General features: G+C 52.2%; 1 protein-coding gene across 2 annotated transcripts in view, besides 3 other annotated features; it reads right to left on the bottom strand.

The window, feature by feature from the left end:
* The window catches only part of PCNT (pericentrin), a 121614-nt gene that overhangs the window by 72936 nt on the left and 36518 nt on the right, over positions 1 to 12160 (bottom strand). For both annotated transcript variants that reach the window (NM_006031.6, NM_001315529.2), the window contains exons 14-15: positions 8900 to 9354; positions 5695 to 6250 (exon numbers count right to left, since the gene is read on the bottom strand). In NM_006031.6, the coding sequence (NP_006022.3) occupies positions 5695 to 6250; positions 8900 to 9354 (1011 nt within the window). The remainder of the gene's footprint in view (positions 1 to 5694; positions 6251 to 8899; positions 9355 to 12160) is intronic.
* Positions 3778 to 3857: an enhancer, noted in NCBI's record as "active region_18603". NCBI's record gives its function as "activates an Ori minimal core promoter by ATAC-STARR-seq in GM12878 lymphoblastoid cells {active_cell/tissue: GM12878}" and the evidence as "EXISTENCE:reporter gene assay evidence [ECO:0000049][PMID:35858748]".
* Positions 4318 to 4447: an enhancer, noted in NCBI's record as "active region_18602". NCBI's record gives its function as "activates an Ori minimal core promoter by ATAC-STARR-seq in GM12878 lymphoblastoid cells {active_cell/tissue: GM12878}" and the evidence as "EXISTENCE:reporter gene assay evidence [ECO:0000049][PMID:35858748]".
* Positions 8939 to 9439: an enhancer, noted in NCBI's record as "H3K27ac-H3K4me1 hESC enhancer chr21:47783310-47783810 (GRCh37/hg19 assembly coordinates)". NCBI's record gives its function as "activates a minimal SCP1, AML or CMV promoter by ChIP-STARR-seq in primed H9 embryonic stem cells {active_cell/tissue: H9 hESC(primed)}" and the evidence as "EXISTENCE:reporter gene assay evidence [ECO:0000049][PMID:30033119]".

Below are 12160 nucleotides of genomic sequence, written 5' to 3'. Positions count from 1 at the left end.
AGGTCTCAGGGCTGTGCCTCAGGACTGAGGGGCCAGTGTCCACACTGGGCAGCACCCAGAGCTGTCCACGTGAAGAAACAAGTCATTTCTAACCTCAGAATCCGGCGCTGCATCACCCATTCTCAGGAGCAGTCCCTCTTCACCAAGCAAACCTTTCAGGTTCAAAACCTTACTTTATGGCTAGAAATGAGATCTTAGCATGTCCTTGTTTAAAACCCCCTTGAAACCATATGTACCATAATCACCTAAAATTTGCACATAATGCTTCAAATAAATTATCAATTATTTCTGAAGTGCTCCAGACTCTAACCCTCCCCCCACAGAAAGGCCAGAAAATCGTACAGACCCAGAACACAGAAGCAGGAGGGCCCCAGGCATTCATCCTGCAGGACAACATGCAGAATGACATGTGTGCATGTGCTGTGTATGTGTGCATGTGCTGCGTGTATGAGCATGTGCTGTATGAACATGTGCTGTGTAAGCACGTGTGCATGTGTGTGCACGTGTTGTGTGTGCGTGCTGTGTGCACATCTGCTATGTGTATGTGCTGTGTGCATGCATGTGCTACACGTGCACATGTGCTGTGTATGTGCATGTGCTGTGTGTGCACATGTGCTGTGTGCATGTGCTCTCTGTGTGTGTGCTGTGTGTGCATGTGCTGTGTGTGTGCGTGTGCCTTGTATGGGCACATGTGCTGTGAGTGTGCTGCATGTGTGCATGTGCTGTGTATGCACATGTGCTATGTGTGCGCATGTGCTGTGTGCATGTGCCTTGTATGGGCACATATGCTGTGAGTGCTGCATGTATGTGCTGTGTGTGTGCATGTGCTGTGTGTGTGTGCATGTGCTGCATGTGTGTATGTGCTATGTATGTGCTGTTTGTGCGCACATGCTGTGTGAGCATGCGCATGTGCTGTGTGCGCACATGTGCTGTGTATGTGCTGTGTGTGCATGTGCTGTGTGTGTGCACACATGCTGTGTGCACATGTGCTGTATGTGCTGTGTCTGCATGTGTGTGTGCATGTGCTGTGTGTGCACATGTGCTGTGTGTGCGTGTGCTCATCATGCAGACCAGCAGGCGGGGTGGTGGCGCCTGGATGGGGCAGGTGCACGGGTCCACAAGTGGGGAGACCTTGCTGCTTAAATGCAGTCCTGCATAGGTGCAGAGAATCAAGACCACAGCAGGTGGCAGGGGACCTCAGCCAGGCCCCTTCACGGCCACCTTGGGAATCCAAGGGGGATTCCGACTACTCAGTCTGGCTTCTTCTGACACAATTTGGTACCAGTGCTTACGCATATTCTGACACACAAGATTTTAAAAAACTGAAAAAGTAAGTAACTACACTGGCCAGGTGCAGAGGCTCACACCTGTAATCCCAGTGCTTTGGGGAGGCCAAGGCGGGAGGATCACTTGAGCCCATGAGTTCAAGACCAGCCTGGGAGACAAAACAATAAAAATTAGCGAGGCGTGGTGGCCCGTGCCTGTATCCCAGCTACTTGGGAGGCTGAGGTGGGAGGACTGCTTGAGCCTGGGAGGCAGAGGTTGCAGTGAGCCAGGATCGTGACACTGCACTCTAGACTTTTTTTGAGACTCCGTCTTTAAAAAAAAAAAAAAAAAAAGAAAGAAAGAAAATAAACCATACTGTGTGCAGATTTCTTTCTTTTTTTCCTGCAGCCTCAGATTCCCAGGTTCAAGCAATTTTCTCTCCTCAGCCTCCCAAGTAGCTGGAACTACAGGCCTGCACCACCATGCCTGGTTAATTTTTATTTATTATTTTTATTTTCATATATATATTTTTTGAGACGGAGTCTCGCTCTGTCGCCCAGGCTGGAGGGCAATGGCGCGATCTCAGCTCACCACAACCTCCGCCTCCCGGGTTCACACCACTCTCCTGCTTCAACCTCCAGAATAGCTGGGACTACAGGCGCCCACCACCATGCCTGTCTAATTTTTTGTATTTTTAGTAGAAACGGGGTTCCACCGTGTTAGCCAGGACGGTCTTGATCTCCTGACCTCATGATCTGCCCGCCTTAGCCTCCCAAAGTGCTGGGATTACAGGCGTGAGCCACCGCGCCCGGCCGATTTTTATTTTTAGAAGTGGACTCTTGCTATGTTCCCCAGGCTGGTCTCGAACTCCTGAGCTCAAGAGATCATCCCACTGTGGCCTCCCGAAGCCCTGGGATTACAGGCATGAGCCCCAAGCCCAGCCCGTGTGCAGATTTATAAGAGCAACTAAATGTGCTTCTGTGTCTACACAAGCCACATCCCCTGCACCAGTCCAACCTGGGATGACCCCTCCAGCTAAGCGTGGCTTCCCCTGTCAGCCCCCAGGCTCTCCATGCCCCTCCCTATGCCATCATCAGCTGGCAGGCACCCCTCACTATCCCCCCAGCTGCCTAGCGCGACACCCAGGATGAGCCCCAGCCTCCCCGACCCCCGCACCTCCCAGGCTCTGAATCGCCTCCACTTTGTGTTTCGTCCAGCTGCCAAGTAGCCTGTAGGACAGATCTGGTCGCGCCACAGACCACTCACTGCCTGCAGACCAGACCAGAACCCTGCCCTCCGGAGGCCCCAACAGGAGGGGAGGCCAACCAAAGACACCCCCCCCCGGATGCCCACCCCTGCAGCTGCCTCGCTGGCCAGGTGCACTGACACATCTGCCCCCACGAAGCTGCACTCTTTGAGCACAGACCCCACTGCACGCACAATCCAGCGGCTCCAAGTGTATCCGTAAGTGCCTGAACGCTCTGATGAAGACTCAGGGCAGAGAAGCCGGGGAGGCACCCCTGTGGGAACCACACACGTGGAGCTGCTCACCTGCACAGCCCCTCCCGCAGCACCTGTAGCTCCCCCAGCACCCCCAGAACCTCCGGCTCCCCCGGCTCCTCCAGCTCCGCCTGCCCTGCTTGATGCTCCTGCATCTTGGCAGCGTACATCTCTGAGTTCCTGCAGGGCCGCTTGGTGCTGATGCTCCAGGAGCAGGACCTTGGCACCCACCCTGTCCAGGGCTTTGGTCCTCTCTGCCTCCAGCAGGCGTCTCTGATTGCACAGGGCTGCGACCAGCTCCTTCCGTCCAGGAAACATCCAGATGTGCCACATCCCCACACAGGGCACAGAAGGTGCACACGCTCCACATGCTTCCTCTGACTAAATCAGGCCGTGGTTTGAAACACACACTTCATGTGTGATATGCAAGTTCCTCCTTTCTGAATATTCTTTCAGAACTTCATTTTCTTTAAACCAAACAAACCAAGAAAACCTAATTTTAAATCCACAGCTTGGGAACAAGTGCTATTCTCCAAAGCATCTGTTTGCCTATGATCAAAACTGGGAACGAAAGGAAACTGAAGCTGGCATCTGAGGACTGGCCTGGAGGGCAGCTCCCAGCAGCATCAGACCCCTGTCTAATTTTGTCCAGAAAGACAACATGGCTCCAGCTTCTCTCAAGAGGCACCTCCCAAGCTGGGAGCAGTGGCTCATGCCTGTAATTCCAACTACCTGGGAGGCCAAGGCAAGAGGATCTCTTGAGCCCAAGAGTTCGAGACTAGCCTGGGCAACACAGGGAGACCCTGTCTTTTAAAAAACAAAAAAGAAACAAACAAAACACATCCCCAGGACTCCCTGACATGTGGTGAAGACAAGGACAGGACACAGAGGCCTGAGACAGGCAACTGACTGCACCTTACTCAGGAGAGCAGAGGGAGCCTGAACATATTCTGCTTTCTAGGAATTCCCCCAAGATCACATGCTCAGACCACACAAAACAGACAGCCTGAAACATAACATGAAACCCTCACAGCGATTAAAGAAGGTTCCACTTTTCTCCTGTTCTTACACAGAGCTGAAGGAAAGCAAACAATAAGCCAACGCTTTGGAGCCTCACAACTGTTCCCCACAGTCAGGAAGGAGGAAGCCCTCCCGTGGCATGCTGGTATCAGGAAATCAACGTATCCACCTTATCCAAGCTGGCAATTCCCTCGTTTATAGTTTGGAACGTGTACTTCTTAAACGTCTGACAAGGTATTGATCTGCCAGAACAACCATTTCTAACTGCCTCATCAGCTCTAGCCCATGCCCCATCCACCGTGCAGCCAGGCCTATGCATCCCCTTCCTGCAGGGAGATAGGCCAGCCCCAGTGGCTCCACATGCTCAACAGAGCAGACTCATCTATTTCAAGGTGAGAAAACCTCAGAGACCTCACTGAGGGCAGAGAAAGCACAAGGTGTGTGTGATACGACAACACGTGTCCTTTCCTGAGTCACAGGCACTGCAGCTTCTGCAGTCAGGCGCCAGCCCAGGGCAAGAGGGACTTCGCCAGAAATTCTTCTTCATGATAAAAACTTGGAAGTGCCTGTCAAATGAACCATCACCGCTTTTTTTTTTTTGAGACAGAGTCTTGCTCTGTCTCCCAGGCTGGAGTGCACTGGTGCGATCTCGGATCACTGCAAGCTCCGCCTCCCGGGTTCACATCATTCTCCTGCCTCAGCCTCCCAAGTAGCTGGGACTACAGGCGTCCGCCACCACCCCCAGCTAATTTTTTTTTGGATTTTTAGTAGAGACGGGGTTTCACCGTGTTAGCCAGGATGGTCTCGATCACCTGACCTTGTGATCTGCCCGCCTTGGCCTCCCAAAGTGCTGGGATTACAGGTGTGAGCTATTTTTGTTTTTTTTTTGAGACAGGGTCTCACTCTGTTACAGCCCAGGCTGGAGTGCAGTGGCACAGTCTTAGCTCACCCTGCAGCCTCGACTTCCTGGGCTCAAGCAATCCTCCTGCTTCAGCCTCCAAAGTAGCTGAGACTACAGGTGCGTGCCCCCACGCCCGGTGAATTGTTTTTAATTTTCGTAGCCCACAGGCTGGTTTCAAACTCCTGGGCTCAAGTAATCCAACTGCCTCAGCCTCCTAAACTGCTGTGATTACAGACGTGAGCCATTGTGCCTGGCCCATCACTGCTCTTGAAATGTAGCAAAAGGGTTTTATTTCAGGAAACATCAATAAAAGGAGGGGACCAAGGCTCTGAATACACAACATGACCATCAGATCTTCCCACAGCAGCCTGGAAACCAAGTCTTCTGCAGAGGTGCTGGTCAGCCTTGAGGAATACTCCAAAGCCCACAAAATCCCCCACCAAGGTCTAGGCCCTCCCACATACGTACGAGAGCAAAGCCTTTAACAAGGTGCCTGCGATCAAAATAACCCTTCAACTCAGTGTTTTAAAGCCCAGCTCAGGCCGGGTGCGGTGGCTCATACCTGTAATCCCAGCACTTTGGGAGTCAAGGCGGGTGGATCGCCTGAAGTCAGGAGTTCGAGACCAGCCTGGCCAACATGGTGAAGCCCAGTCTCTACTAAAAATACAAAAATTAGCCGCGCATGGTGGCAGGCGCCTATAATCCCAGCTACTTGGGAGGCTGAGGCAGAAGAATCACTTGAACCCAGGAGGCGGAGGTTGCAGTGAGCCAAGATTGCGCCACTGCACTCCAGCCTGGCGAAAGAGTGAGACTCCGGCTCAAAAAAAAAAAAAAAAGCCCAGTTCACAAAGAGACCAGAAGTCCCCACTGATCTCGGCAGCCTGTGAGACACACAGACACCCGCACAGGCACACACAGCACGCACGCAGACATGTGACACGCGGTGGAAACACACAGGCAGCGAGGAGAGGCCTGCCCTGGGCTGGGGCAGGGCCCTGGCGCCTTACCTGGTGCACTCCCTGCAGCTCGTGAGCCACGGTTCCGGCGAGCTCTGTGCTCACTTCGGTTCGCAGGTGGTCCCGCACAGACTGTAGCTCCCCTTCGTGTTTCCGCTTCAGTTTCTCCAACTCTTGAGTCAAAATCGTTTGGTGAAGAGAGTCCTTTTTCCACAGTTGTTCCTCAAAGTCTGCTCGTAAGAGCTCTAGGGCCTGCCTGTGCTCCTCACGGATGGTCTGAAATTCAGAGAGGTAACAGGATTCCAAAGAATCAAGGCTGGACAGATGTCTGGTCTCCAGAGCGCCGAGGTCGGCAGCGTGTTTTGTCTGCAGTTCGGCCACACGTGCAGCCAGCAGAGCCCCCTGCTTGCTCTCTAAGGAGGCTGTCAGCTCGCCCAACGCGGCCTGGTGTCTGGCCTCGAGCTCCGCCGTCACTGACAGGAGCTGCTGCTGGTGTCTCTCCTGGAGGAGCTGCAGCTCACGGGCATGCTGCTCCTGGGCCTCCTGCAGGAAGGCATCTTGTTCCGCACTGAATTTCTCGGTGATCTCTTTACGTTCCTCTAAAAACCTGCGGCAACAAAGTGAACACAGGACAGTTAAACATGCATCAGGAAGCAATGACCCTTGCAAAAGCCAAGTCAGTTTCCCACAGGAAATGCCACTTCAACTGTTCAGGTCATCGTTTCGGGATTTTAACTGCTCTTACTACTTTTCCCTCGACCACCAGAAATAGTAAGTGGGAGAGTGAAGAGGCCCCATGAAGCCAGAGAAGCCCAGAGGCCAAAGGCCAAAGCCATGGGAGTCGCCAGGTCACAGACCACAGGTAGGAACCAGCGCCCTCAGCAAGAGATGGCACACACACATCCCCGCCAGAGCCACGCACGGCAGGCACAACCAACCTCCTACTCACACCACAGCGTCCGAGCCAGCATCCAACCAAGAATCCCAAGGTAATCTCTGCTCCTCAACAGGGAAGGGGCACTGCCCATGGGGGCCCATGGGGAGGGCGAGGCCTGAGAACCCCATGGCAGTGAATTGAACCCCATGGCAGTGAATGAATAGAACCTCATGGCAGTGAATAGAACCCCAAGGCAGTGAGTGAATAGAACCCCAAGGCAGTGAATGAATAGAACCCCACGGCAGTGAACAGAACCCCACGGCAGTGACTAGAACCCCATGGCAGTGAACAGAACCCCACAGCAGTGAATAGAACCCCACAGCAGTGAATGAATAGAACCCCATGGCAGTGAACAGAACCCCACGACAGTGAGTGAATAGAACCCCACGGCAGTGAACAGAACCCTGTGGCAGTGAACGGAACCCCACGGCAGTGAATAGAACCCCATGGCAGTGAATAGAACCCTATGGGAGTGAACAGAACTCCATGGGAGTGAATGAATAGAACCCCACGGCAGTGAATAGAACCCCACAGCAGTGAACAGAACCCCACAGCAGTGAGGAGAACCCCATGGCAGTGAATGAATAGAACCCCCATGGCAGTGAATAGAACCCCATGGCAGTGATCAGAACCCCACGGCAGTGAATAGAAGGCCATGGCAGTGATCAGAACCCCATGGGAGTGAACAGAACCCCACGGCAGTGATCAGAACCCCACGGCAGTGAATAGAACCCCATGGCAGTGATCAGAACCCCACGGCAGTGATCAGAACCCCACGGCAGTGAACAGAACCCCACGGCAGTGAACAGAACCCCACGGCAGTGAATAGAACCCCACGGCAGTGATCAGAACCCCACGGCAGTGAACAGAACCCCACGGCAGTGATCAGAACCCCACGGCAGTGAATAGAACCCCATGGCAGTGAATAGAACCCCATGGCAGTGAATAGAACCCCATGGCAGTGAATAGAACCCTATGGGAGTGAACAGAACTCCATGGGAGTGAATGAATAGAACCCCACGGCAGTGAACAGAACCCCACAGCAGTGAATAGAACCCCACGGCAGTGAGGAGAACCCCATGGCAGTGAATGAATAGAACCCCCATGGCAGTGAATGAATAGAACCCCATGGAAGTGAATAGAACCCCGTGGCAGTGAATTAAGGAGGTGCAGGCGGCACTCAGGGCCAAAGACAGAGGCAGGGAGAGTCCTCACAGAAGGACCTGCTCCCATCAGGAGGCCAAAGAGCCTGGAGCTGGAGGGTCCTGCAAAATGCCAAGGCCTCCAATGGGCACTGGCGACACAGGACGGATGGCAAGAGGCACAGGCACCTCTGCGCCTGGAAGCCTCTCTTGAGGGCCTCCTTGGTTCAGCTCTACCACGAACTGCATGTCGTAGCCTGGTGAGAAGAGCGTCCTGCTCGTGTTCATGCAGCCCCAGCGACCTGAACGTGAGTTTCTCCAATCCCTGAGCGGGGCCCTGTGCGGCCCTGGTTGCTGGGGAAGGGCTGGGTGGGGCAGACAGATGAGAAAGAACGGCACAGCCCTGGGACTGAGGCTCGCAAAAAGGGTCAGCACCAACAGGCAAAGAACCCAATCACTTTCTAAACCTCTTGAAAACTTCAAAGAAGAGTGTGTATGTTTCAGAAAAACATGCTTATTTTTAAAAATCACCTGTTTAAGTTAAAAAAAACACAAAAACGCTTAGTGGATAAACTCCATGTCCTTATGACACCTATAAAAGAGGTTTAGCTTCTGCTGTTCAAATCTTAAAACACACGAAGAACAACAGAGACAATGACTGATCCCCGCCCCTGACACCCACCCAGGGAGTGCAGACTTGGGGGGCTTTGGGGCGGCAGCTGCCAGCCTGCCCGTCCAAACACAAAGCTGTCCCACTGTGGCCGGGGGGCTTCGGGGTGGCGGCTGCCAGCCTGCCCATCCAAGCACAAAGCTGTCCCCATTGCAGCCTGGGGGCTTCGGGACAGCAACTGCCAGCCTGCCCGTCCGAGCACAAAGCTGTCCCACTGCGGCCAGGGGGCTCCGGGACGGCGACTGCTAGCCTGCCTGTCCGAGCACAAAGCTGTCCCACTGCGGCCAGGGGGCTTCAGGATGGCAACTGCCAGCCTGCCCGTCCGAGCACAAAGCTGTCCCACTGCAATTAGGCTGAAAACCTAGAGCGCCACACCTTGTTCCAGCTCCCTCCAGACCTTTTCGCCCAGTGGAGCCCACAGCGCCTCCTCCCAGGAGCCTGCCCACCTTCTACCCTCCAAGGTGTCTGGCCTCACAGGGACTGCAGATGGCGTCACTGCAAACCCACCTGCTCCGGGCCAGCATCAGCTGCAGGGCGCAGTCTTCCTTCACGTGGAGCGCAGCAAGCTCCCCGTCCTGGGCTGTGGGCGGCTCCCGCCCACACTGGCTGCAATGCAGGGCGTCGTCTGAAGTGAGGTCCTGTTCCAGCTGCTGCAGGCGGCCCTGCTGCTCCGTCAAGGACCTCTCCAGATCCAGGATCTGGGCTGCCTGTTGGTCCTGAAGCTGCCTCATTTCAGCTTCTCGAAGCTCAAACTTGTTTATGATGGTCTGTTTCTCGGATTCAGCCTTTTCTCTCAGTTCAAGTAGCATCAATGTTAACTTCTCCTCAGCTTCCCGCTGTAGCTCCTCCTTCATAACTTTCCAGTCCGTTTCTTTTCTTTGGAATTCCTGTTTCATCAGCTCAGTCTTTTGCTTAGCATTATTTAGTTCCTTCTGGTGGTCTTCAATTAGATTGTGTTTTACCTACAGACAACATAATTTCATTTAGGAGGAAAGACGCTAATGGAAGAGATTATTAGAAGAGACAACCCAAACCCACCTCTGAAGACAGGGAATTTTCACCACACACACACCCATTACGCTGCACACAGCAACAGGAATGATTCTCATGTTGATGACAATGGAAGAAACCTAAAGTGGACAAGTCTAAAACTAAATAAAATGCCTCCTACGTCCTGGCACCGAGAACCGACTGTTCTTTATCTCTGGAGCCCGTGGCCTTGACAGCAACCAACAACCGAAGGCAGCACACATCAGCCGAGCAAAGGCAGCAGCCGGAGGCTTCTTTGTTCAGACCAAGACCAGTGGCAGGACTCAGATCGGCCGCAGGCCTCTGTTAGGGGAACGCCAGCCCCACAGATAGCGCTGGGCCACTGCAGCAAGCATGATCGGATGCCCAGGAGGCAAGAGCAGCCAATGGTGCGATGCTCCCGATCTGTACAAGGTCAACGCCAGGACAATGAAAGACCTTGAGCAAGGGGTGGATGAACTGCAAGGCACACTGTAAAGGGATCCTGTGCAGAGGGGGATGAAGGAGAATGCAGAGGGCAAATATCCTAATCTTTTTTTTTTTTTTGAGACAGGGTCTGTCGCCCAGGCTGGAGTGCAGGGGCACAATCACAGCTCACTGCAGCCTCGAACTCCTGGGCTCAAGCAATCCTTTATAGAGACAGGGTTCTGCATGTTGCCCAGGCTGATCTTGAACTCCTGAGCTCAAGCAATCCGCCAGCCTCAGCCTCCCAAAGTGCTGGGATTGTTACAGGTGTGAGCCACCATGCCTGACTTCCTGACTTTCAAAGAGAAAAAAGTAGGTCAATAAACTACTGAACTCATCAAAAAGAAACAAACAAAAAACCCAAAAAAAGGCACGTAAGATTGACCTCAACTCCTTATTTAAAAATTAAGTTATTAAAGTTTAGGGTGCTACTTCTGGTGATGCCTGTGCACCTCGCCAGACCAGCCCTCCAGAGACAACCACTATGAACTGAACAGAACGTACAAAAAAACCTGAAGGCTGTGGAGAGATCCACAAGCAGACAGACCCTGCAGAGGGCTGGACATTCAGAAGGAAGAAACAGCACTGAGCCATTCTCTTTTTCCAGCTTTTCACTAAGAGTAGTATCTGTCCATGCCCCACACACAGAAATCCCAAATCCCTCACTGAGCCAGAGGAACTGGAGAGTGAGGGAGGAAAGAGAGCTGCAACGCCTGGGAAGGAACCCGCCCACGTCTCAGGCTGACCCCGATCTGTACATACGAGGGGCAGACTCCAAAAGCAAGCAAGCCGGCTAAAGCTACAAGAACTGAATTAACACCATGCCGCAGCCCAGCACAGACGCAGGGGAGCATGCAGTCTGAAGTCACCCGAGTGAACTGCCTGCTGCAACAGAAAACCAACACTCTCCAGAGGAGCAGGACAGAACCCAAAGTCTCCAAATCTATCACTCACAGTGTCCAGGATGCAACCTGAACCCAGCTGACCCATAAATAAGCAGGAAAACGTGACCCCTGCTGAAGAGAAAACACAATCAATGGAAACCAACACCAAGACAAAACAGATCATAAAATCTGCAGAGAAGGATTTTAAACATCTTTAAATCCTGAACAAGAAACCTGTCACCTTAGACTTTTTAATGCCACAAAAATACTCCTCAAGAATCAAGGTAAAATAAAGACTTCAAAAAACGGAGAAAATGTGTGCAGCACAGCAAGAGATGCTGAAGGAGATCCTTCACGCTGAAGGGAATGACGCCAAACACTCAGATCTTCAAGAAGAAATGAAGAGCACCAGAAATGGCAAGTATAAGGCCATTTTTCCTCTTAATTTCTTTCAAACACATGTTTTCCAAAGCAAATCTCCTGACACTGCAGGAGGCGGATGTGATGTCTAGTCTATGAAAACTGCAGCACAGAAGACGAAGGGGAGGTGACAAAAGCACCTGTGCAGTTAGAGGTCACAGTTTACACAACGCAGCATCATGGTGACTCTTAGTAGACTGTACTGATAAAAGACAAGGTTAAGAATGTGTATTCTTTTTTTTCTCTTTTCTTTGAGACGGAGTCTCGCTCTGCCGCTCAGGCTGGAATGCAGTGGCGTGATTGTGGCTCACTGCAACCTCTGCTTCCTGGTTTCAAGCGATTCTCCTGCCTCAGGCCCCCGAGTAGCTGGGATTATAGGCATGCACCACCATACTCGCCTAATTTTTTTATTTTATTTTTTAGTAAAGACAGGGTTTCCCCATGTTGGCCAGGCTGGTCTCAAACTCCTGACCTTGGGTGATCCACCCGCCTCCCAAAGTGCTGGGATTACTGGCCTGAGCCACCGTGCCGGGCCAAGAATGTGTATTTTAATCCCTGGAGCAACTATTAAAAACATAATGCAAAGAGGAATAACTTAATAGTCAACAGATACATTAAAATCAGTTCTAGAAAATATTCAAATAATCCAAAAACACAAGAAAAAAGAAAAAGCAGAACCATGACCACCAGACGCATCTCACAGAAAATGAACAGTGAAACGGAAGACCTAAATCAACCACACCAGTAATTACCTTAAACATTTATAGACTCAGCACTGCAACTGAAAGGCAGAGATTATCAGAATGGATTAAAAATTGCCAACTATGGCCAGGCGTGGTGGCTCACGCCTGTAATCCCAGCACTTTGGGAGGCCGAGGTGGGCGGATCGGGAAGTCAGGAGATTGAGACCATCCTGGCTAACATGGTGAAACCCCGTCTCTACTAAAAATATAAAAAATTAGCTGGGTGT

The sequence above is a fragment of the Homo sapiens genome, chromosome 21, assembly GCF_000001405.40.
Source record: "Homo sapiens chromosome 21, GRCh38.p14 Primary Assembly".
NCBI lineage: Eukaryota > Metazoa > Chordata > Mammalia > Primates > Hominidae > Homo > Homo sapiens.
This window is presented reverse-complemented; position numbering and strand designations above follow the sequence as displayed.